Source organism: Homo sapiens, chromosome 14 (assembly GCF_000001405.40).
Source record: "Homo sapiens chromosome 14, GRCh38.p14 Primary Assembly".
NCBI lineage: Eukaryota > Metazoa > Chordata > Mammalia > Primates > Hominidae > Homo > Homo sapiens.
Window position 1 is genome coordinate 41759103 of NC_000014.9, and position 27850 is coordinate 41786952.

Below are 27850 nucleotides of genomic sequence, written 5' to 3' on the forward strand. Positions count from 1 at the left end.
ACATTTTAAAGTGTAATACCTCTCACATCAAAACTCTTAGTTCTTTCCTGTCATTGTAATGTGTTTTTAAGTCCTCCTTCCCAAAAAGGTGCTTCTCGTGCTTGTAGATATTTCTCACACCCATATTGCTTTTCAGAATATTTGCAGTTCTTCGAAACTCCCATACTCCATGTGGTCCTTAGTTTTTCTGAGTTTATTTCAAAATCTCTCTTAACTATCTATGAATCTAATTTTCAATTGCTTAATAGTTTCCCAGGACTTACAGTCTCATGTTCAACCCACTGACTTTAATATATATGTTCCAGTATTTTTACAGTGACCATTATAAAGTATATTCTCTCTCTCTACACACACACACACACACACACACACACACACACACACACACACACACACAGAGAGAGCACCAGAAAACAGCATTTTATTTTATTTTATTGGCTAATAAAGGGAAACGCAATTAGACAAGCACAGGTAAAGACTCTGATTAACACCAGTCCAGGAGTGCACTTAGTAGTTGGTCATTTTACCATATTACATACCTGGTACAAAATGTAATCTCTGTGCTTTGCTATAATGCCATTGATGTGGTCTGGTACCCAAAGCAAATAGCAATTCAGAGCTTTTCATTGACTGATAGTTTTATATTTTTTCTAGTTTTCTGTGAGACACACTGTATTTCAAATGTGGTTTAATAAGGACAAATAATTCACTGTGACAATTAAGCATGTTTTTCTAGATATTCATTTTCTAGTAAAGTGCTAAGATTGCAGTCCTGAAACTGTTCACACGTAAGTCCGCCCTAAGGCAGATGATGCGCTATTATGTAAATTTTCATGCAGTCGTGGAAATAACACAGAGGGATTCCCACATATCTTATACCTGGTTTTTTCCAGTGGTTACATCTTGCATAACTGTAGTACAATATCGCAACCAAGAAACTGTCATTCGTACGACCCACTGACCTTATCAGATTTTTACCAATTTTATATGTATTTGTATTTGCTTCTATTTAGTTTTCTAAATTTTATCACATATGTAGGTATACATGAACACAGTAAAAATACGGAAAAGTTCAGTTAACATGATACATTCTGCTACACGTATAGCCACAAATAATTCTCTCCCTCATCCATAAATAAATAAATAAACATTTATTTCTTAATATTCAGACATAGGGTCTTACTATGTTGCGTAGGCTGGGCTTGTTCTACTGGGCTCAAGCAGTCTTGCCACCTCAGTCTTCCAAAGCAGCTGTGATTACAGGCATGTGTCACTGTGCCTTGCTTCTATTATATCTAATTTTAAAAGAATAATGTACTCATGTATTACTTGTATTATGAATATTAATAAACAAACAGAACTTGCACTTTCTCATTTGCACATTAAAAAATTGATCTGGCTTCTACACATTTACACATGAATCAGAACGCTAAAGAGAGGACATAATGTAATATAAATGTTTTGAAATTCTACTGAATTGGGTTTTTAAAAATTTGTATGTTTATAAAATGTGCAGTATTATGGTTTCTTTATGAAATGATTTCTGATTTAACATGCAAAGGAGGAATAAATGAAGGATGAGAGAGGGAGGGAGGAAGGAAAGAAGGGAATCAGGGAGGGATAGAGAGAAGAAAGAGGAAACAGGGAGGGACGGGACACAGAAGAGGGGAGAAAAGGAGGGAAGGTGAAAACTGGTAGATATAAAGGATCTACATAAGGGGATTATATTATAGAACAACATGGTTAGGGATTAGATGGAGATAAAACCTCCATGAATACACTAACACGGAGATTTGCTATTATCCAATAATCAGCTAACATGATGTTCACAGTAAGCCCCAATGTCCATTTGGACTAATAAAGATTTGCCACCTCCTCCTGACATGAACCTAAATTGGGCCCCTGATGGAAGTAGTGGAAAGAGGTCAAAAATCAGGTCAAACAAACTTGAAATAGATAAGATATTGATTTATATAAAACATTTTTTTTCAGGTTATGGTACTTGGGTGCATGTGCATACGCAGTTGTGTGCATGTATGTAATATATCCAATAACATTCACAGTGACACCCTGATGTAGGTATTATAACCATTTAAATACTAATGGACAAAAGGTTTAAGTATAAGTTGTTGAGTTACTGAAGGGAAAAAGAGAGAGGGAGGGAGGCAGGAGAAAGAGAGGAAGGAAGGAAAGGAGAGAGGGAGGGAAGGAAGAAATGGGGGATACAGGAAAAAAGAAAGAAGGGAGAAGGGAAGAAAGAAGAAAATACGGTATGTAGATAAAAAGTGATAATTATTCTATTGATAGGCACAAACTGATATTCTGTTTTAATTGAAAAAAGATCATTACCAAAGAGATAAACTGACATACATATTAGTGTGACCATACTATCTGTCTGCTGACTTTTGCCAAACCACTAAGAGCGACAATAATGTTGTATTTTGTTTTTCCCTATGGTCCAAAGAACAGAGTAGGCCTGACATTTACATTGTCAGAGCACAACATGAGCTAGCAAATGAAGTCAAAGGACCACTCTCTCATTTCACCAAGGGATGAAGATGTGCCAAAGTTGTCTTCAGGGAAAAAAAAGTTTATAACACTTTGAATTTCTGATAAATATCAAGAAAAATTTTAGCAGAGTAAATTTAAATTGTGAAGTCATTATTTGAAGTATTTTTGTTATTATTTTGGATTATTTTGATTCTATCATTTGACAAAATATTGTTGTGCAAGTAAAAGTACTTTGATAGCTCTGGGGTCTTCATCTGGGCCTGGTTTTACATTTCTTTTGTTTATTTTTTGTAGAGGAATTTTACAACCACTATCTACTAATCAGAAATTTTGTAATTAAATTTAAATTATAATAATACATTTTGGTTTTCACTGAATCAGTTATTAATTTAGCATCTCTTTTTTGTATGTGGTGAGAATATCTTATTTTAAACTATTACTATGAAACATAGTGAATGAGTCATTTCTTTAAAAACAATGAAAAGCAAGCACAACCTCTACCCACCCTCTGTCTTCACACCCTGAAAAAAAAAAAAAAAAACCTTCACCTAAGTTCTAGCTTACTGAAATACAGTATCCCTTAATGTTATTTTCTGTTAGTTGTTAACAAGATATTACAAATGCAGTAATAAAATTTTTAGGTCAGCAAGATTTATGCTTTATTTAACTGCTGAACTCTTGCTATTAGAGGAAAGGAATGATTAGTTGTTCTCGTTTACAATGTGACATTTACATTAAGCAATAAATGCTCTAGCAGTGTATTAATTTATTTGTCATATGATCTTGGATGTGTGTAATAATTTGTAAAAGTTTTCCTATAGCCAAGGATATGGTGCTACATTTTTTCCAATAACAAATGCATTTTCATATTCAATCATTGCCTCTAATTTACTTTTAAAGTAGGTTTAGCAGTATTAATGGTGAGGCAAGCATGTTTTAATAATAGTGTTTATATGAATTTCTGAATAATTATGCTTTAACAAACTCATTAATATGGAGTAATTTTCAATTTTTTGCTTGTGTCCCAAATTATTTTTCAAGTCATTTGTTTTAATAAAATAGAATTTCCTATCTTATAACCTCAGTTTTGGAGTAATCCCCCAAAAGATAATGGCTATTTTATCTCAATATATTATTACATAAGTATAAATAAGTAATTGAATGAACTGTAGTAAAACCATATGATTCAATTATTTATATATTTCAAAACAGCTGGTTTTTGCATCATGTAGGCCAAAACATCTGGCTGTTTATTTTCTAATCATTTTTAACACAAAGTAAATATAGCTAAAAATAAAGGTAGAACAACTCATTCTTTATTTTGTACTATTAGGAATTCTAGGGAGAAATGATTGGTAATGATACCATTTGATGGATTCATAATTTTTCAAATGTTATGAATATTTAAAATGAAGGGAATATGTGAGATAATATTCTGGTGTCTTCAAGTATTTCAAGGGCTTTCAATGGGTCAAAACTTAGGGCAGGTTTAGGAAGAATTTTCTAAGGGTAACAAAACTGTTGCAATGCCTATAATGTATAAGGTTTTATGATGAGTACTTTCACATACATTGTATCTTGAAATAATTACAACTTTTTGTAACTGTTTTCATTTTGAAAGAGAAAAATGGTCACAGTTGTGATTTCAGCCTTGGTCTAGAAGACTTTAAAGTCCTACCTTTGTTGATTTTAAGGCTCTTACCAATGTATATGTTCAGGCAATTGATGAACACTTAGTAAAGATATCCTAGAGGATAAGAAAGTATCATTTGGTGCTGGAGGAGGTAATGATTCTCACTTTTAAATACATATTTTCTAATAACTTCTAGAGCTTTGCCCATTTTTTCTAAGTTCTTTCTGAGTTTAGTATTGGCACCTTATGTGGTTTGGCTTTGTCCTCACCCAAATCTCATCTTGAATTGTAGCTTCAGTAATGCCCATGTGTCGTGTCGTGGGAGGGACATGGTGGGAAGGAATTGAATCATGGGTGCAGGTCTTTCCAAAGCTGTTCTGGTGATAGTGAATAAGTCTCATAAGATGTAATGATTTTATAAAGGGGAGTTCCCCTGCATATGCTCTCTTGCCTGCCGCCATGTAAGATGTCCCTTTGCTCTTACTTCATCCTCTGACATGATTGTGAGGCCTCCCCAGCCATGTGGAACTGTGAGTCCATTAAATGTTTTTCCTTTATAAATTACCCAGCCTCAGTTATGTCTTTATTAGCAGCATGAGAACAGACTAATATGGCATCCACAATAATTGTTAGAGGGAGAACTATATTTCTTGGAAATATATGTACATAAACAATAACAGTTGCTGAATTTTCTAAGACTATGCTAAGAATGTAACAACTTGGAACTAAGAAATTGACCATAATTTTTTATAGGATGTTCCATTTCAACATAATATCAACAAAAAAAAATCTTTGTATGGTAACACTAGAAAATGTAGTATTAGAATCTCAAATCTGAATTTTCCCTCTTTGGTCATTGCATTGACCAAAATATATGGACTAAAAAAATAACACCTTACTTTAATATAGAATCCTTATGGATTTTTTTGAAAATGTCACTTACATTATGAGATATAAGACATTTCATAGAGTGAGATAGCCCTAGGTGAGAGTCCTCATTTTGCTATTTACCTATATGAGCTTGCCCAAGGTTAGTTGACCTTTCTCTGTCCTTGCATTTTTGTAGCACTAAAATAGAAATATGTATTTACCTCATTTGATTCTTAAGAGAATTTTTTTAAGTTAACACATGTTTTATGGTAGCTGGCACATAGTAAATCTTAATAAAAGGTATGATTACAAAAAAGGAAATGCTGTTCTCATTAGTAATGTGACCATATAGACAATAAATTTTCTCTGGGAAATTATAATTTAGGTAGGAATTTCAGTTGTTACTGTGCTTTTCATGCTAAAATAAAGACATAGACCTACTGTTGGTCAACAGTATGTTTTAGGGGGAGTTAGGATGATATTTTGAGGCCTTTATATTTTGCTACCATAATGAAATAATAGAAAATGTAATTACAGAATTCAGATTTATTTTTTATACTGCATCTTTACTACAAAGAAAGAAACATGATCAGAGCTGCACGGACAATGAGGTGTTTTAACCTAAACAGTTTATTTAGGAATATATTGTGCCTGTATTTACTAACATGTGTGCAGAATACATATATATGATTATATATGCAGAATACATATATATGATTATATATGCAGAATACATATATATGATTATATATGCAGAATACATATATATTCATATAAATATTATTTTTATAACAACAAAATCCCAGAAAGGTGTACTTTTTCAGTTAAGATACTTTACCAGCTAAGATTACGCTTATGGTAGATGTGCACTGTTAGAATGGATGGATTCATGCTAGAAGACAGAAATGGAATGTTTTTCAAGACGTTAAAGAAACAGAGCACAGGCCGGGCGTGGTGGCTGACGCCTGTAATCCCAGCACTTTGGGAGGCCGAGACGGGCGGATCACGAGGTCAGGAGATCGAGACCATCCTGGCTAACACAGTGAAACCCCGTCTCTACTAAAAGTACAAAAAAATTAGCCGGGCGTAGTGGCGGGCGCCTGTATTCCCAGCTACTCGGGAGGCTGAGGCAGGAGAATGGCGTGAACCCGGGAGGCGGAGGTTGCAGTGAGCCGAGATCGCGCCACTGCACTCCAGCCTGGGCTACTGAGCGAGACTCCGTCTCAAAAAAAAAGGAGGAAAAAAAAAAAAAAAAAACAGGGCACAACAGAGCAAAGTATTCTGATATATGTACAAAAATTTACAAACGCACACACATACATACACACACAAACTATTTCTGAAAGAATGTTCTAAAATGTGAAATTGGTTTTCTCCGAGGAGGACATCTTACTTTGGAGGAAGATGTACTATTGGATTTCTGATGTTTTTGTCATGCATATATGAATGTGAAAGTTAGCTTAAAATATATTCATGGAAGGAAATAAATGAAAAGGCAAACAATTGCTGTATCAACATGGTTGTCAAATGATTGATTTATATTCATATTTGTGTATGTGGTATGTCCCAGTTATTCTAAAATGCTATAGTAAACATAAATTTCAAAAAGATACAGCATTGATTGACAGATTCAGATAAATAATTGAAATATATAAGCTATAATTTACTTTTATTTAATTGCACAAGTAATCTGTGCCTTGATTTTTAGTATTTCTGACCATATCAGTATTAAATTAAGCAATAGCTTAATTTTCCTTTTTAAATAAATTCCTAATTATTGAGTATCTTAAGACAATATAATCACTTCTTTAAATTTTGACTCTATAAGATCATTCATATATCTTTACAAGTGGAGGCAGCAGAAATAATAAGCTAAACTCAAGTTGCTGTTTCATCTTAGGTCTGTTTTTTATTATTATGCTTTGGAATTTCATTATTTCTCACTTTCGCTTCTTCAGACAAAATAAGTTATAGTTAAAGTAAAATTACAATGCTTTTATTAATTTCAAGAACGTTTTAAAAATTCAGCCTATTTCTGCATTACAAATATCAGTGATTGAATATCAATTTGTACTATTACATAGTAATCTTATAGGAAAGAAAGTTAAGTATTGTGTTTTATAGAGCCAAGTTAGCTATTCTTTAGAGTGACATGAAAACCTCAAAAAGAGGTTGAAATCAGTAATCTTCTGACATAAAGTTAAAAAATAAATGGCATGCCTATGTATTTCTTTCATAGACATATAGGTTGCAATAGTCAGATTTTCTCTGTTGAAAAATATACGGGAAAAACAACATAAGACTATTAGTTTAATCAGGATAAGGGTTTTTCAGGTTCATTCACTGCCATATGCTAACTGTCATATGACTCGTAAGTAGTAGGTGATGCTTAAATATATGTTAACTTATGCACTGTTTTAACATTAGACTGCAAGTTGAATTAATTTAAATATGATGAAATCGAACTATACAGCTTAAGATTATTTAAATTATCCTCAGTTTTGATAAGAAAACTTATTTCAAAAAGGAAAGGAGAATGCTAATATATTTATTGAAATCACAGTATGTTGCACATTCCATTGGAAAGCTTTATTATGCAAATATATTTAAATCATATTGCATGATACTCCTGCTGTAGTTTGAGATTGATCACCCAGTTAACAGCCACTATATTTTTCAAGGATACTTTATAAGCATTTTTTGATACACTCTTTTTTTGTGCTTGCCTCCTTTGAAGAATCCCTGTAACCATTCATCCAGGTGTTGAGAAGATATGTAGCAGCCGAGCACCCATCTTTTGACACCGTCCTCTGAAATCAGCTTTGGAGATGCTTTCACTCTGTCCGTCTTCTGCAGCAGCCAGGCAGAGTGCCGACTCCTTCACAGCCGTGAGGAACTCTTCAGGCTCCAGAAGTAAGTTGATTGCATTCAGTTCAATCATTGTCAGTGGGTTTAAAACACTTAAGGGAGGAAAACTAAAAATCTTGCTAACTTACATACAAATTAAACCTAGTATTATTCATCACTGATTACCTTGTTTTTTGTTGTTGTTGTTGTTTTTGAGTCATATTTTTTGGAGATTCAATGTCTACCACTTTTTGTGTTGATAACCTCTATCCTTATGGAATTTTCTGATTTTTTTTTTTAGGATTTGTGTTTCACATGCATTATCATAATTTATACTTACAACCCTAAGGCCTGGACAAGGAATAGATTAAAATAACAATGTTTGCAAATGAATAAAAAGGTTCAAAATGACCAAATATTTTATCAAATTTGCTTGGCTAATAAACTATGAAAATGGAATACAATTTCTCATTTTCTGAATTTAAAAAAAATAAGTGTTGTTTCCATGGCTTTGATGTCCAGTGCTATATAGAGGGTAATGAACTGGTGCTAGAAAGAGCACTTTTCCTGATTGGTTGGTTTATTGAATGATACGTTATCTGGGTCATTCAAGGAGAGTTTATGCCAGCCTTTAAATGTGCATACTAGAAAAACAAAAGAAAATGAAAATCATATATAGGAAAATGAATTGAAATCAGGGGACATGAAGATCTGTAAAATGCATAACACAATGTACTGCATACCACCACAAAACAAATTCCCAGCCATAAATTTATGTATGGGCTTTCTAACTTCTAGGGAAATCAGGTAAATGTATTAGTTAAAAGATTATTTATGGTCATAGGATTTGAAAATAAAGACAACGTCTCAGGAAAAGTTCGGACTTTCCTGGTTCATACTTATGAGCCTGTTGTTTTGCCATGTTTCTAGTTTAACTTCATGTTTGAGGCATTTTTTTTTCTTCTCCTAAATACTTGATGTAAGCATTTCTTGTTGCTCTTGGGGATATATTTACATCGCAATGTCACTGCACAGAAAATTGATTGTAGGTGCACTTTTATATAGAACAAAAGTTTGATATAGCTGAAATTGTCAGTGATTGGATGCTTGGCAGTTAAAATTTTCTTGAAGTGAACAGGTAAGAGATACTTAATGAACCCACTTTTATTTTGCGACATATTACATGTCAATATGCAATAGAAATGCATATGTTATTAGAAGAACAGAAAAACTGTAGTTAAGAATTTATATCTGAATCATGATGTATCTAATTATATAACATTTAAAATAGGCAGCCAGTATGTTGTTGCTAGTATGCTCAAGGTGGTGTAGAAGGACTACTTTTAAGACATATACAAAAATAATATATCTAGATTATATTGAGGTTAATTGATTATAAATGTGATGATGGTGTAAAATGATGAGTCTGAGTATGCAGATTGATTCATTCCAAACATGATTTTAGTGTAGGTTTCTTCTTCCTATATTTTGTTACCTGGTACTGCTTTTGTACATAATTTATTCATTTATTTTAGGAATTGCTTTTGTTGCTTTGCTTCTTTAGATTTCCATTAAATAAAACAACATGAGAAATGCATTCTAAATTTTCTGTGTTTTTCATGTGCTTAAGGAGACAGAGGACACTGTCCAAGCCTGAGGCGACTGTGAAAATGTAAAAATAGTGTGTTTCTTTATGGCAACCCCACAAGAAACTCCAGAGATTTTATCTGCCCAATTAGTTAATTAATAATTTTTTGTATGTTGTTTTCCACTGGCAAGACTTTTTCTAGATAAAAGCATTTACTTTACAAAAGCTGTTAGCAAAGGAACTGTGTTGACTGATAGATTCTCTAGTGTAAATCACAAAACAAAGTAAATTCAAACACATTTTCATTTACTAATTGCTAAAATCAAGGCCAAAAGATTTTCTTAATTAACCTGGAAATAAAAGGCTAACCAGAAATAATTTATATGTTGAAAAAGACTCTTCCAAGTTAATGCTTGATTTGGTTTTTTAAATTAGCAGTCCATTAGCGTGTAGAAGTAGTACCTCATGTTCTCTATTTTTTCTTTGGAGTAACATTAGGTTAATGTCTTGCGTGAAATTAATCACTCTGAAAAAAAAAAAACAGAAAGTAAACACGTTCCTAATTAGGTTTGTCCAACTTCAAATAGCTCATTGAAAATTCATAGGACATCCATTAAAATCCCTTTAAAAATTAATGGAATACCAGAAACTTTCTTAGAGTGAAACAGTGAATGGAGTAGTAGTAGCAGAATAATGATGCAATGGAATATCCACTTGTGATTAAGGAGGACAGCTGAGGTGGTAATGGTTGCTATTATGATTATTTTTCTCACTCTGGCATTTCCAATTAGCCTTGGACAGTAGAAGACTACTTTTGTCTGTTTCTCTATTCGTTCTCACTTGACAAAAGTATTGATGAAATTAAACAGTGCTTAATGTCTTAACAGCAAATGTGCCTGTAGGTACATGCTTTTGAAAATACATACCTATGTATGTGTGTGTATTTATGTGCATGTATGTGTATGTATATATTTACATATGTGTGTGTATATATGTATATATGTGTACGTATATGTAAAGATAATTTATTGTACACACAATGACGATAATTATTTTACAAAGCTAATATTCCTTTTAACTATTAAGGTATCCTTAATGACATTAAATATATAATATTTAAGTGGTGCTTTATTTTTCTGAAATCAACTCCCTTATATTTAAAGTGTGTAAATTATCACCTTTTATGACATTATTTGAAAGTGGCTTAACTAGCTATCATAATAATTGTCAATATATTATCATTTGACAATTTGTAGTATTCTTTACTAAACATTAATTTATTTGCCATGTATACCATTTCTATGAGTCCAGTTTTCATTTGTCTATTTCTTCAACCATGTGTTAGTCCATTTTTGCATCACTATAAGGAAATACCCAAGGCTAGGTAATTTAGAAAGAAAAGAGATTTAACTGGCTCTTGGTTCTGCTGGCTGTACAGGAAGTGTGGTGGTGAGCCCCTCAGGAAGGTAATCATTATGACAGAAGGCAAAGGGGGAGCAGGCACATGACATGGAGAGAGTGGGAGCAGGAGAGAAAGTGGGGAGGTGCTTCACTCTTTTTAACAACCGGATCTCACATGAACTAACTGACCAGGAATTTACTCATCACCAAGGAGCCATTCATGAGGTATCTATCCCCATGATCTAATACGTCTCACTAGGCCCCACCTCCCACATTGGTGATTACATTGTAATAAGAGATTTGGAGGGGATAATCATCCAAACCTTGTCATTCCATCCCTGGCCCCCCCAAATCACATGTTCTTTTCAGATTGCAAAATACAATTATCGCTTGCCAATAGGCCCCAAGAGTTTTTAATCATTCCAACATTAAGTCTAAAGTCCTGTCTCATCTGAGACTCATCTCCTTCCACCTATGAGCCTGTAAAATCAAAATGAGTTATTTGGTCCCAAAATACAATGATGCTACTGGCATTGGGTAAGCATTACCATTCCAAAAGGGAGAAATTGGCAAAAAGCAAGGGGTAATAGACCCTGTACAACTCTGAAACCCAGCAGGGCAGGCATTAAATCTTAAAGCTCCAACACAATCCTCGACTTCATGTTCCACAGCATGTTGTGAAGGATGGGCCCCCAAGGACTTGGGTAGCCCTGTGCCTGTGGCTTTGCAGGACACAGTACACATAGCTGCTCTCACAGGTTGCAGTTGTATGCTTGTGGCTTTTCTGGGCAGAGGGTTCAAGCTGCCAGTGAATCTACCACTCTGGGTTCTGGAGGACAATGGTTTCCTTCCCACAGCTCCACTAGACAGTGTCCTGGTGGAGACTCTGTATGGGGCCTCCAATTCCATACTTTCCCTCAGCATTGCCCTGGTAGAGTTTCTCTGTGAGGAGCTCCACTCTTGTGGCAAGCTTCTGCTTGGGCACCCAGTCTTTCCTATATATCCTCTGAAATCTAGGTGGTAGCCACCAAGCCCCCTTCACGCTTGCAGATTTAACACCATGTGGAAACCACCAAGGCTTAAGGCTTGTGCCTTCTGGAGCTGTGGTTTGAGCTGTACTTGGGCCCCTTTGAGCCATTACATAGCTGGAGCAGCAAGTATATGGGGAGCAATATCTCAAGGCTGCTCAGGGCAGTGGGGCCCTAGGCCTGGCCCCTGAAACCATTCTATTCTCCTGGGCCTCTGGCCCTGGATCTCCTCGCCCAGAGGCCCAGGAGAATAGAATGGTTTCTGGGAGCAGGCCCAGTCTTGAAGATCTCTGAAATTCCTTCAAGGCATTTTTCCCATTGTCTGGGATATTAGCTCATGGCGTCCTTCTGGTCACGCATGCCTCTCTAGCACATGGTTGCTCCATCGGTTCTTTATATTCTTTCTCTGTCACTTGGCCAGTTTGCAAATTTTCCAAACTTTTATCCTCTGTTTCCCTTTAAATATAAGTTTCAACTGTAGATCATTTATTTGCTCCTGTATATAATTTAGGCTGTTAGAAGGAGCCATGTCACTTCTTGAACATTTTGCTGCTTAGAATTTTTTTCTGCCAGATACCCTAAGTCATCACTCTTAATTATCAACTTTCACAGATCCCTAGGACCTGGATGCAGTACAGCCGAGTTATTTGCTAGGGTGTAACAGGGAGGACCTTTACTCCATTTCCCAGTAACTTCCTCATTTCCATCGGAGACCTTGTCAGTGTGGTCTTCACCATCCATATCTCTGTCCGCATTTTGGTCAAAACCATTTAACCAGTCTCTTAGAATTCTAAACTTTCCCTCATCTTTCTGTCTTCTGAGATCTCCAAAGTCTCCCAAACTCTGCCTGTTACCCAGTTCCAAAGCCACTTTCACATTTTCAGTTATCTTTATAGCAATGCCCCACTGCTTAATACCAATTATCTGTGTTAGTTCATTTTTGTATCACTATAAAGAAATGTCTCAGGCTGGAAAATCTATAAAGACAAAAGGATTAATTGGCTCATTATTCTCTAGGCTGTAGGAAGTATGGCGTCAGCATCTGCTTTTGGTGAGGGCCTTAGGAAGCTTACCGTCATGGCAGAAGGCAAAGCAGTACCCAGCAGGTCACATGATGATAGTAGGAACAAGAGAGCGAGGGGGGAGATGATACATCTTTTCAAACAACCAGATCTTGCATGAACTGAGTGAGAACTCACTCATCACCAAGGAGATAGCACTAAGTCATTCGTGAGAAATCCACCCTCATGATCCAAACACCTCCCACTAGGCTTCACCTCCAACACTGGGGATTACGTTGCAACATAAGTTTTAAAGGAGACAAACATCCAAACCATATCAAATCTGATAGATATATTTTCATGTTTAATATCCTTAGGTATATACTTCACTGCCTAAAATCATCCCGTAAAATATGATCCACAAAAACATACAGATACAAAATAAAGTCATCAATAGGACAAAAGCAATATGCTACCTATAAATGCTTATCTGGTTACATGAATTGAGTTCAATTAGTTTAAATGATATCAAAAGTTAGAGCAAATTAGACATGCTATCTTATGCAGCATTCACTTTGCAAAGAAGAAAGAATAAAAAACCCTCAGACAATAAAAAATTCTTTATAATGGCTCTCACAAATTTGTATAGCACAGACCTTGCTAGTCAATTCCAAATTGATATATCTAATTACCTACATGCCTTAAATTTAACTTGTGGAAAACTAACCTCTTGATTATCTTGCCACATACATTCTTCTGGTGTTCTTGAGCTCAGTATACGGCTCACCATATACCAGTAAAATTCTGAATCATTTTGTCATCTTTCTCAATCTTTCACTCCACAAAAACAATTCATCACCTAATCTGGTCAGTTTTACCTACAAAGAAAATTCTAAAATTCATCTACTTTTCCCTATTTTTACTATCATTATCCTAATCTTTACTACTGTGATTTCTCCCGTAGACTACCCCAAGAGCCTCCTAAATTATTTACAATACCCAGCGATGTATCTATTTTGCTTATTCTCCACATGCAGACAGAGAGAGCTTACAAAACACAAAATTGAGATGTCGTGACCTCAGTAAAGACCATTATTCTTAGACTGAAGACAAAGTTATTTAACATGGCTTACAATGTTATCCATGGTTTAGCATTTTTCTAAATGGCCCCAAGTTGTCCCCCATCATGCCCTTCTTGCATTCAAGGCACAAAGACCTTTCTGTTCTTGTTCATATAATGTCACCTCCCACCATGGTCTTTGCACCTGACTGTTTCTCCCTGAGCAGCTCACTTTTTTTGCCTGCATCTCATTCAGTAGTCACTTTCTGAAGGAAGTTTTCTTGGTCAGCCAAACCAGATATGTTCTTTCTATTATATGGTCTCATAGCATCATATACCTGTATTTCATTATATTTTTATGTTTTTTTCTTTAGTTGTTTGATTAATATTGTCCTCTCCTCCAGAATGTAAACACTGCAAGATCAGAGTCTACATCAATTTTGCTCAACATTAAAATGCCTTTTTTATTATATTGTATATAATCACAGGCATAGAGCATTTTCCTCTCTCTCTCTCTTTGTCTCTCTCTCTCTCTGTCTCTTTCTCTTTCTCTCTCTCTGCAGATTAATACGACTGGAATTTTTGTCTAAAAAATAATTACAGACTTGTTGGTGAGGTAAGGCAGTACACTGCAGAAATAACTACCATATGATAGTGAGGAAAAGCTACAAATAGTCATGTGAGTTCAGTGGAAAAGGAGATTACTTCCATCTGAGATAATGCAAATATACTTATTAGAAGTACCAATTTTCTGGCTTTCAGAGACAGGCTTCAGCATTAAACTATTGTGGTTAATATGCTGATATATTGTCTCTTTTAAATAAAAATTATAAAAACTAGAAAGACAATGCAGAGTCTTTCTGAAAGCCCATACATACTGATACAACAGCTACAAATGTCTTAGCTGGCAGTACTTGATATAGAGGAGTCTCTGCTGTCTCTGCCTGCTGTTAATGTTGGTCTTTGTGTTGCTAACACTATGGTTCTTACTGTGAAATGTCCAGGGAAGAAGTCTGAATAAATGCTCTTCTTTATGAGAAAATGATGAGTTTACATTTAGGACCAGGAGAGATTTATGTAACTTGGAGAGTACTCTTGGCAACCAACATTAGATGCATGACAACAATCTTAATTGCAAAGCATTGGCTATGAAAACCAATGGAAACAATCCAATTTGTACTGACTCAATGTAAGGTTATTAACTCAGTTATTGTAATGAGCAATCTATTTTGTGAATGTGCAGTTGATCTCCATATACCACTACAGACTACACTATGGAGTATTTTAACACATATTAAACTTAGAATTTCTGTGTAAACTGAGGCATCTCTTATCAATATGAAACAGAATATAGGAGCCTTTACAGCAAGAAAAACATTGGCAGTCTCTACAAAGGCTTCTTTTAGGATAATTCATGATTTATTATGGGAAGAAATTCATAGATTGGAAGAATTGTGTATTGATTATAAATGCTAACATAATATTACTAATGATTTGTAATATGAAATGAATAAAACACGACAAAATTTAATGTTGAAACTACATGACAAATTGTATGGAAAAAACATCAGGAATTTGATAGATTCAGGACTACCAGGTGAAAACATTAATAGCATAAGAAAATCTAGACTTGATTTTGAAAAGCGTTAACTTAGATGTTAGTTAACTTTGATCATACAGTTTTCACACGTAAGTATTCAATAGTTAGAATATTTAAGAATCCCAGTGAGGTTGAAAAGATCATGACAGAGAGGATACATAAAGCACACCTATTGGGAATGCTGACATGTAGGCGATATATAGGTTAGTTGCTAACAATAACCTCTTTCATCACTCCTGATTACATATGTAAGGCTGGATAATGACTGTGATCTTGCAGGGGGGTAGCTTGATCTTACATGTATAACTAAACTTCCCTTTGGCCTCTTAGGAATAATGAAGGATAACTGACTCAACATAAAAACACATTTCCCCTGTAGTAATACAATAAAAGTCCAGGCACATTAGATTTGACAATTGAGGTGAAAGATTTGATGCTACTTTTTCTTTTTCTTTTTTTTTTTTTTTGAGACGGAGTCTCGCTCTGTCTCCCAGGCTGGAGTGCAGTGGCGCGATCTCGGCTCAATGCAAGCTCCGCCTCCCGGGTTCACGCCATTCTCCTGCCTCAGCCTCCCGAGTAGCTGGGACTACAGGCGCCCACCACCAGGCCCGGCTAATTTTTTGTGTTTTTAGTAGAGGCGGGGTTTCACCGTGTTAGCCAGGATGGTCTCGACTCCTGACCTCGTGATCCGCCCACCTCCGCCTTCCAAAGTGCTTGTATTACAGGCAAGCCACCGCACCCGGCAGTTGCTACTTTTTAAGCAACTATTTTTTATAAGGTGACTTTTCCTCTTAATGCCAGGCAATCATAAATCCATAATAAGAATCTGGCTTTCTTTTTGATAACTGGCATGCAAATATGGATTACTATGCTAAATCTTCAAGCTTTCACATACTGTTTAATATCTGGAAAACAAATAACCTTTTCATACCTGCTTACTTATTTATGTCTTGAAGATGTAGTTCCATTACAGGCAAATAAGCATCTCTTAGATTATTTCAATACCTACTGCAGTAATGATTTTAACGCAGAAATCATCCACAATTGAAAAAATGCATTCATTATTTATAAAGTGACAGAATTATAGGGTAAACCTTTTTATAATGAGAACCCTCTCGTTATAAAAAAGGAGGAATATTCACAAATAAAATTATATGTAATTTTAAATTAATGTTCTCGTTTTATCAAGGTTGTATTATGAAGCATTTTTCAACATTTCTTATATGCATCCTGCAATAAAACAGCAGGTGATCAAAATTTTCGGTCAGATTTACTAAAAAGTGGTTCTAAATGTAACAGCTATACTGACGATGAGAGTGGGCTTATGGCCTTCATGGATTTTCTTTAGGTAGTTATATGCAAACACTCCAGTCTGGAAATTGGTGTGGCCTGAATGTGTCACTAAGTAGTGATTCCAGCAAACAACCAACATTGGAATCGCTTCTTGGATTTGTGGTTCTATATTTATCATAACATACATGTTACTCTTTTGAAAGTTAAAAGAGATTGTTTAAATTTTTAGTGTATTTTATGGGAAGTTTTATAGTAGTAATCCTGATTCCTAAATATTTGGGGACAAAATACACATAAATGACTTCCTGTTTAGTTAGTTCCATAAGTGTATTCATGTCAAGGGATCTATGCTGCCCCAATAGGAAAAGTAATGATAGATAAGGAAGGTATTGAAGGAAATGTCAAGTAAGAATCTTTTAGTTACCACGTGAGTATCCCCGTTTTGGTGTCTTCTGAGTGGATTCCTGAGTCTTATTTGGTGTGGGTTTATGGGCATTCTGGTGTTTACCTATGCGAATAACACAGAGATAATTTTTTAATATAATGACACAGTTATCATTTCACACAATGTATGGATGCCTTAATTTAGTGTGTTTTATTGTCATCAGCTTTTGTGAAACATTTTTATACTTAATAACTTGTCTTTAATTTAAAGGGACTGCCCACTGAGGGTGACAGTCCTTTTTACAAAGAGGAATTTTCATAAAGGACCCAACATTTTAAGAAAAGGATTGTCTCAGAAACCCTTTACCAAAATAAAAAGCTTTCATTTAATGTGATGAAATTATCAATTATTTATTTTGCTGTGTGTGCGTGTGTGCTTTTTTGTGCCTTGTTTAAGCTATCTTTCTCTGCTATTGAAGAAATAAAGATATTTTCCTAGGCATTCTTTAGTATTTTAAAAGTTTATTTTCACATTTTTTGTGTAATGTAGAAATTAAGTTGGATTTGCAGTACTGTACAGTTCCATTTATGTTTTCCATACTTATAACCAATTGTCTTGTATTGTTTATTTAATAATGTATCCTTTACACATTGAATTGGAATTCTAGCACTGCCATATACAGTTTTCATATATGAATGGATATATCTTGATTTTTCTATTTATTTTATTGTTATATTCATCATCTCTGCACAAATACTATACTCTAATGTAATTATCCTATTTGTAATATGTCTCAATAGATTGTGGAATAAATAGCTACTTCCATTTCTCTTCAAAATTGCCTTGCCTAATGTTGATTTTTTATTCTTTATCCTTCTATTTTAATTTTAGGAGTACACAAGTTTGGTGAAAAATTATGTTGTAAATTTTATTGGAGTCACAAGTAATTTTTATTTTAGATGAGTAGAAATATTTTATTTTATATTTTTAAATAATTACTCTATCAATGTTCTTTTTTAGGTCCTATACTACATTTTTATAAAATTATCCTATACATCTTGAGTTTCTTTTCTGTTTCTTCACAAATGATGCTTTTTGTGTTTCTGTGTATGGATTTTTAAAGTGTTACATTTTTACATTGATTTGTCTGAGCAGTAACATTGCTTTTTATCATTATCTCTTCTAACTAACTATGCTGAAGTCTAACTAGTTTTAGTAGTTTTGTTTGTTATTCCGATTACATGTTTGTAGTTATAATATCTATGAAAATAGCACTATTAAATTTTCCTTATATTATTTTTTCATCATCTAATTGAGCATGCTAGGAGCTCTATTACATTGGTAAATGAAAATAGTGATCAAGGTCATTCTTATGTTTTCCTTCGCTTTTTGTATTTGCCATAGTGTAGGATGTTTTCTTTAAATCATTTTATGGTGAGTACCATTTTTGGATATATACACTGTAAAACTGCAGAAGCACAATTGTCCCTTTTATTATCTTCTTCATAATGAACATTATGGAGATGCTATTGCAGTAATCTGTTTTAATTTTTAATGGGTAATGGTGTTTAAACTAACCAAACCTTAATCCTGTTTCTGACTCTGTCTTTAAGATGGTAATTCTTCACAACTTACATTGCAGACAGGATAAAAGAACCATTAAGAAGATGCATGGGATCCTTTTTTTTTGGTGGGGGGGGGGGATTGAGAGGGGAAGATTATACTTTTGAATATCTCAATATTTGATAATTTTTAATAGTATTTTTTCCAGGCTCAGAATAATGTCCCTTCTCAGCTCTTTTCCAGAAAACTTTATTTTGGCATATTTAAATATGAAATATTTATAATGACTGAAAATAAATATTTGATTCCCAGTCTGAATCTAGAAGAAAATAGGATTTTTAAAATAAATGAGCAATTAGGCATGTGTTTCATAATTGGATAGAATTTGAAACAACATGACTCTTCTTTTATAACTGAAGGATGAGGGGCCATCAAGAGATTAATTTGTGTGAGCTTATGCAGACAATTTGTGTAATTGGCTTATCTTCTTCTGGGCTATAACTTCAAAATTTTAAAGTACTTTGGGGACTATTTTATAGTTTTACAGGTAAAATTTCTTGGTTTTCTTTCCCAGTTTATTTCTTTGATTATCGTTGGTTTCTATACTGCCATTTGCTCCTATGGACAGATTGTTATTATTATCATCATGATTATGGTTTAGTATTTTAGTGAATAATATTGTGCTATTATTTTTGTAACATTTAATGAAGAAAGGTTTATAAAACTCATGTACACTTTAATTAATAACTACAATGTGAAGAACTATGGAGCTACCACTCAGTTCAAGAAACAGAACATTGTTATGATCCCTTTCTGCCTCTGTGTGCAATATTGTCCTTCACTAAAGCTAAAAGTTGTATAATGAACTAAGCTACGTAATAACCATTTCTTTGTTTTTTTAGATTTATGGTTATTATAAAGTACATGTGAATTGTTGTACATGTGCACAAATTTCCACATAAGGATCTTGTACATATTTTGTTAAGTTTGTACTCACTTACTAATGGCAGGAGTTTTTTTAATCAGTTCTTTGGGATTTTCTATGTAGACAGACGTGTCATCTGTGAACAAAGACAGTTTTATGTCTTCTTGATCTGTGCAACATTTATTCTCCTTTCATTTCTTATTATACTAGTTCAGACTGCCATTATACTGTTAATAGGAATGCTGAGAGGGAACATTCTTATATTGTTCTTGATTTTAGAGGGAAGGCATCTAGTTTCACATTATAGGGTATATATTAGCTGTAGGTATTTGGTAAATGTTCTTTATCAAGTTGAAGTTTTCCTCTCTTTCTAGTTGGCTGAGAATTTTTATTATGAAAAGATATCAGATTTTGTCAAATGCTTGTTCTAAATCAGTTGATATGACTTTTTTTGTTTTTGCTTTAGCTTGTGATGGATTACCCTGATTTTACAATTTTAAATTAGCTTTGGATAAATCTGATTTCATCATGGTGTATAATTTTTCATCCATTGTTTGTTCAATTTGTTAATATGTTATTAGAAATTTTTGGATCTATGTTAAAGAGAGCAGTTGGTCTATAGATTTCCATTCTTGTAATGTCTTTTATCTGTTTTTATTATTAGGCTAATGCTCTTCACATAGAATGAGTTAAGAAGCATACACTTGGCTTCTGTTTCTGTTAGAATTTGTAGAGAACAACATAATTTCCCCTTACGTGTTTTGTAGAATTTGCCAGTGAAATAGTCTGGATCTGGTGCATTTTCTTTAGAAAGTTATTTATGATTTACTCAATGTCCGTTAACAGATAAAGAGATATTCAGATTATCTGACTCTCTTGGTGTGGGTTTCAGTAGTTGTCTTTCAAGGAATTGGTCCATTTTGTCCAGTTTATCATATTGGTCGCCATAGAGTTATTCATAATATTACTTTATGGTCATTCAAATGTACATTGAACCAGTAATATCAACTGCTCTTTAATTTCTGATGTAGTAATTTGTGTCTTATCTCCTTTTCTTTTCTTGGTTAGTCTGGCTAGAAGTTTATAAATGTTACTGGTCTTTTCAAATAACTAGATTTTTCTGTTTTCCATTTAATTATTTTCTGCTTTAATTACTATTGTTAATTTTCTCCTGCTTTCCTTAGGTTTATGTTGGTCAATTTTCTCTAGGCTCCTAAAGTAGAAAGACTATTGAATTTATATCTTTTTTTCTAATATATGTATTCTATGCTGTAAATATCTCCGTAGGCAGTGCTTTCACTGGTTTTGTTAAGTTATGGTTTAAGTTTTGTTTAGTTAAAATTTTTTTTAAGTTTTCTTGAGCCTTTGACATGTGGATTATTTACAGGTATATTTCTTATTATCCAAATGTTTTGATATTTTCAAGCTATCTTTCTGTTATTAATTTAATTACATTTATTTCCATAGTCATCTTAGAACATAATATTTTTTTCTATCCTTATATAATTTCCTTTGCATTTCTGTGAGTTTTTGCCTCACATCTTTTAATGCACTGTTAGGTGAATTCATGTTAAGGATTGTTGTGTCTTCCTGAAGAATTGACAGCTTTCTCATTACTAAATGTTCCTCTCTATCCCTAATAACTTTCATTGCTCTGAAGTCGGCTTTGTCTGAAATTGATATAGCTACTTCAGCTTTCTTTTGATTAGTGTTAGTATGGTCTATATTTCTTCATCCCTTTAGTTTTAATCAATGTGTTCTTAATTTAAAGTGGGTTCCTTGCAGATAACATATAATTGAGTTTTTTTGTAAATCAAATCTGAAAATTTATGTATTTTATTTGAAGAATTTAGATCATTCATGTTACAAATGATTACTATATTGAGTTAATATCTACCATGTTTTAGTTGTTTCTATTCATTTCAGTTATTTTTAGTTTCTTTAATTTTTATTTTTCTGCATTATCTGGTTTTAAATGAACATTTTATATGATTCCACCTTCTCTCCTTATGTATTAATTCTACTTCAAAAAAATTTATAGTACGGTTGCCCAAGTGTTTATAATATACATTTACCATAAATTATTTACTTTTAAGTAACACTATACTATTTTACAAGTATCCAGATAGTTAGCAACAGAATGTTGCCAATTTCTTTTCCCATCCCTTTTTATATTTCTGTCATTCATTTCACATATACCATATTTCACTTTATGCTATATTCAAACAAAATATTATTACTATTTGTACTTCGAACAACTAGCTATCTTTTAGATTGATTAAGAACAGGGAAAATATTTTACCTTTACTTTTTCTTTCTCTCTTTCTTTATACCAATTGAAGTTCTGACTTACTATTTTCTTCTCCTGAAAGAACTTCTTTTAAAATTTCTGGCAGGGCATGTGTGCTTGTGATGAATTTCCTTAGTTCTAAGGCCAAGTGTGTTGGTTCATGCATGTAAGCCCAGGAGTTTGGGAGGCTGAAGCAGTAGGATTGCTTGAGGCCAGGAGTTCAAAACCAGCCTGGGCAATGTAGTGAAACCTCTTTTCTTCAAAATAGACAGTGCCTATATACCCAGCTACTAGGGAGGCTGATCTGGTAGGATCACTTGAGCATGGGAGGTTGAGACTGCATTGAGTCGTGATCATGGCACTGTAGTGAGACCCTGTCTCAAATAAAATTAAGAAGGAAGGAAGGGAGGGAGGAAGGGAGGGAGGGAGGGAAGAAGGAAGGAAGGAAGGAGAAAAGAAAGAGAAAGAAAGAAAGAAAGAAAGAAAGAAAGAAAGAAAGAAAGAAAGAAAGAAAGAAAGAGAAAGAAAGAAAGAAAGGAAAGAAAGAAAGAGAAAGAAAGAAAGAAAGGAAAGAAAGAAAGAAAGAGAAAGAAAGAAAAAGAGAAAGAAAAAGAGAGAGAGGAAAGAAGGAAGGAAGGAAGTTATAGTTTTTATTTTCTTTGAGAAAGCCTTTATTTCTTTTTACTTTTTGGAGGAAAAGATGTTGCTAGATACAGTATCACAGGTTGTTGGTCTTGTTTTTCCTTCAGCATTTTATGTATTCTATTCCACTTTCTTATTGTTACATGAGTCCTGATGGGAAGCCCAATGCAATTCATATTCTTGCTCTGCAAATAAGCTGCTTTTCCCTCTGATTTGTTTCAAGATTTTTGCTTTATAATTTGAACATTCTCTAAATGTATGTTTCTTGGCATTTGTACTGTGTAGTGTTCTCTGAGCTTCCTGGATCTGTAGTTTAGTGTTTGTCTTTAATTTAAAAAAAATTATTGGTTATTATTATTATTTTAAATATTTTCCTACTCCATTATCTTTGTCTTTTCCTTCTGCTGTTCCAGACTTTTTTAATGTTTAACCTTTTGAAATTGTTTTAAAGACCTTGGATATTCCGTTTCTTTTTATTATTTTTTTTAAATTCTTTTTTTCCTCTGATATTTTAATTTGGGGAGTTTCTATTGACATTTCTCAAACTTGTTAAGTCTTTCCTTAGCTTTATCCTGTTTACTGTTGAGCCCATCAAATCATTTTTCCTTTCTGTTACAATATTTTAATTTTTACTCTTTCTTTTGATTCTTTCTTATAGTTGCCATTTCTCTGCTTACATTGTCATCTGCTCTTGCATGATGTCTTTTTTAGAGCCCTTAACATATTAATCATAGTTATTTTAAATTCCCTCTTTGATAACTGCAAAACCTGAGTCATATTTGAATCTTGTTGTGATGTTTGCTTTGTCTCTTTAAACTGTTTCTCTTGCCTGTTGTGATACCTTGTAATTTTTTGTTAAACATCAGACATGTGGCATTGAGTAACAGAATTGAAGTAAATAGGCCTTTACTTTGAGGATTTATGTTCATTTGGCTAGAGATGGACTTTGTTTAGCATTTGCTCTAGTTGAAGGTGCCAGAGGCTGTAAATTCTTTCAGTGTACTTATTTTTGTCCCTCTTCTCACTGTTGGGCTTCTCCAAGTATTTCTCATCAGAAAGAGACTGTGTCTTACAGCTCTTCCACCTGAAATCACTCTTATTACATTGGAGCCTTGTTATAGTGGTAGTAATGTGGGATAGGGGAAGTCTTCTATAATCTTATGACTGAATATTATCTTTTAGTGAGCTATATCTCTTGGCTATAATCTTTACAAGTGTTCCTGTGGTGATACAGCTTTTTTTTTTTTTTTTCTATTAGATGAATCAGGAAGCCTAGTGTTGGCTCAAGTGGGTGGAAATCCTTTCTCGAGATGGTACAAGGCCTGGTAAAATCATTTCCTTTGACAAATAGGGCTTCCTTGTGGAGAAAAATCTGGGTATATTTCAGAATGGTTACTTTTCCCCTTTCCCTGCCAGAAGCCTATGGGGATTTTTCTTGTCAATCAGATCGGTGGGTTTATGAACTAAAATATAAGAATGTAGGGGGAGACTTTTGAACTATAGCCTCCAAGAGTTTCTCACTCTCACTCTCAGCCTTCAGCAAATCACCAAAATTTCAATGTAAATATTCCTTTGTGTGGCTCTAACAGCTGCTGCTCCAGGTAAGCGGATGCTGTCTGTATCTCTCTGGATGTGCCTGAGTCTCCAGATTTCATTGTGGCAGTTTTTCTTGTATCTTCAGTTATCTGATGGGTCCATGAAAAGTCACTGATATTTTGTTCGGCTCTTTATTGTTCTAAGGCCTGGAATGACAGCATCCAAGTTTTTTTACAGCTAAAACCTTATCAATCATTTTTAGTGGCCATTTTGGTTGGTAGTTTAGAGGTTTCAATTTTGACTAATACGGCTGTCAGTTTCACTAATGAGTAATGAACTTCAGTAATTTCCTGCATGCTGCTTGTCTGTTTAGATATTCTTTGTAGTACAGTACCTCTTTAAGACTTCTTGCCCATGCCTTAAAAAAAGGGGATGTTCTGTTATTTTTTCACTAATTTAGAAGTTCCTTATGTATTTTTTACATAAGTCCTTTGTAAATTATACATGTTATAAATATCATTATCATGTATTACTCTGAAGATTAGCGTTTTAGTTTCATAATGGTGATTTTTGATTAATAGAGGTTCTTACTTTTAATGTAGTACAATTTATTAGTCTTTTTCTAATTTTCACTTTATGATTTTTGTGTTATAAGAAAAGTTCTATAGTACCCAAATCATGAATATACTCTTAATGCTGCTTTCCACAAGCTTATTTTACCTTTCACATTCTCATGCCCATGAACATTGGCCTATATGTAAGGAGCTGGGTAGGATTTAAGATTTTTTTCTTAATCAAAAACTAATTGACTTACCATTCTATTAACGACAAAATTTTCTTTACATCACTGCTATGCTCCACCACTTTTATTTAAAATTATTTATATTAGATACTTGATATATTCCAAATGTATCAGAGTATAGCAGTGAAGTGAATGAAGGTAGTGATTTTTGACACTTTATTATATTACTCTATTTTGTTACATTTGTATCTATAACACACTCATAATTAGCATAGCTTTATAATAAATGCTGATCTCTAATAGTGCCAATCCTCCAACATTGTTGTATTTCCAAATTTTCTTAGGTTTTCATGACCTTTTTAAAAATTTTTATTTCTTTTTTTTTAAAAAAACACAGTAATCATTTAGGTTTACCCTCATACTCATGTTGCCCTTTATTCCTTCCTCTTTGTCTTTCTTGTATTATTTTCTTCCTCGCAAAGACTCTCTGAAATTTCCTTTATTGTAGGTAGACTGCTGACATAGTTTTTCTTTTGGTTTATCTGAAAATGTTTTCATTTTTTCTTCATTTGCCTAAGTGTATTTTGAAGCCTGTGTGTGTATGTGTGTGTGTTTGTGTGTGTGTGTGTGTGACAGAGTCTCGCTCTGTCACCCAGGCTGGAGTGCAATGGTGCAATCTCGGCTAACTGTAAGCTTCGCCTCCTGGGTTCAAATGATTCTCCTGCCTCAGCCTCCCAAGTAGCTGGGATTACAGGTACGCACCACTATACCCGGCTAATTTTTGTATTTTTAGTAGAGACAGAGTTTCACCATGTTAGTCAGGCTGGTCTCGAACTCCTGATCTCAGGTGATCTGTCAGCCTCATTCTCCCAAAGTGCTGGGATTACAGGCTTGAGCCACCTTGCCTGGCCCTGTAGCCTCTTTAATTGTTAAATGTACATTTAGCATTACCATGTTCTCTGGGAGACACTGACATATTGATAATCATGAAATACATCTCAATCCTGAAAATACTCATTCTTCTGAAATCTATTTCAAATAATATGAAAATAGCCACTCTAGCTTTTTTTTGGAGTGGTGTTTGAATAAGGTAGCTTTTCCATTCTTTTACTATTTTATATTGTTTGCATTTTTGAGTTTAAAGTGTCTTTCTTTTAGCGGACATATTGTTAGGTCTTGCTATTTTATTCTGCTTGATAATTTCTGCCTTTTAATTGCAGTGTTCAGACCACTTATAATTTATGCAATTATTGAGATGGTGGGTTTTAATTTTCCACTTTGTTATTTTTGTTCTATTTGTCCCCTATATCTTTGGTTCATTTTTCTCTTCTTTTCTTGCCTTCTTTGAAAATAATTTGAGTATTTTTAGGATTGTATTTTATTTCCTCTGTTGGATTATATACTTATACTTCTTTGTTTATTTTTTATGGTTTGCTTCAGCACTTATAAACCTTTACCTTACCAAAGCTTCCTTTAAATGATACTATACTATATCACATATGGCAGCGGTCCCCAAACTTTTTGGTGCCAGGGACCGGTTTCGTGGAAGGTGATTTTTCCACAGATGAGAGGAAGGTGGTTTTTCAATGATTCAAGCACTTTACATTTATTCTGCACTTTATTCCTATTATTATTACATCGTAATATATAATGAAATAGTTATACAACTCACCATAATGTAGAATCGGTGGGAGGCCCGAGGCTGTTTTCCTGCAACTGGACAGTCCGCTCTGGGAGTGATGGGAGACAGTGACAGATCATCAGGCATTAGATTTGTATAAAAGGCATGCAGCCTACATCCCTCATATACACAGTTCACAGTGGGGTTCACACCCCTATGAGAATCTAACGCCATCTAATGACAGGACGTGGAGTTCAGGTGGTAATACAAATGATGCAGAGCAGCTGTAAATAAACATGAAGCTTTGCTAGCTTGCCCACTGCTCGCCTCCTGCTGTGTTAAACAGAACAGGCCACTGACTGGCATTGTTCCCTGCCCTGGGGTTGGGGACCCCTGATATATGGTACAAGAAGCTTACAATGGTTTATGTCTATATTTTTGCTCCTGTCCTTTGGGCCATTGTTGTCTTATAGTTTACTTCTATGTATGTTATAAACTCTACAACATAGAGTTATTATTTTTATTTTAAACAGGCAATTGCATTTTCAAGAGACAGACAATGGGCAAAATAATACCCACAAGATATTTATCATTTGTATGACTTCGTTCTATCTAGTTTCATTTTTCTTTTGCCTAAAAAAGTTCTTTTAGCATTTCCAGTAGTATAAGTCCACAGGTGATGAATTTCTCAGTTTTTGTTTTTTCAAAAAGTAATTATTTTTCATATTTAGAGTTTTTTTAATACATTAATTTAACATTTTTTCTTTCAGTACTTTAAAGATGTCTTTCAACTCTCTTCTTTCTTACATATTTTCTGAGAACAGCATACATCCATTCTTAGTTATGTTCTTCTGTATGTAGTGTATGTGTTTTTCTAGCTGTATTTGAATTTTCCTCTTTATGAGTTTTTTTTTTTTTGCAGAAAGTTCGTTGTACTATGGCTTGGTGTAGTTTTTAAGATTTCTTTGCTTGGGATTTGTTGAACATCTTGCATCAGTGAGGTTGTGATTTTTTTTTAATTATTTTTGGAAATTTTAGCCATTGTTGCTTCAAATTTCTTTCTTCATGTACGCTTTCATTTTTCTAGGATTCCAGTGACACTTATGTTGAACTGCTCTGGAGTCTCACAGGACACTGATGCACGATACCTTTTTATTTCTTTATTTTTTTGGTTCATTTCATTGTGTTGTTGTTATTATATTTGTGCTTTATTTTAGGCAGTTTCTATCACTGTCTTGACATTCTTTAAACCTTTCTTCTACTGTGTCTACTCTGCTATGAATACCATCTTGTGTGTTTTTCATTTTGCATATT

The 27850-nt window shown here is 33.9% G+C and overlaps 1 protein-coding gene across 8 annotated transcripts in view; it reads left to right on the forward strand.

The window, feature by feature from the left end:
- Positions 1–27850, forward strand: part of LRFN5 (leucine rich repeat and fibronectin type III domain containing 5) — a 297674-nt gene that overhangs the window by 152227 nt on the left and 117597 nt on the right. For 6 of the 8 annotated variants that reach the window (NR_144389.2, NR_144388.2, XR_007063991.1 and 3 more), the window contains exon 2: positions 7752–7927. The exons of the other annotated variants lie outside the window; for them this stretch is intronic. The gene's annotated coding sequence lies outside the window, so the exon portion shown is untranslated. The remainder of the gene's footprint in view (positions 1–7751; positions 7928–27850) is intronic. 8 annotated transcript variants of the gene reach the window in all.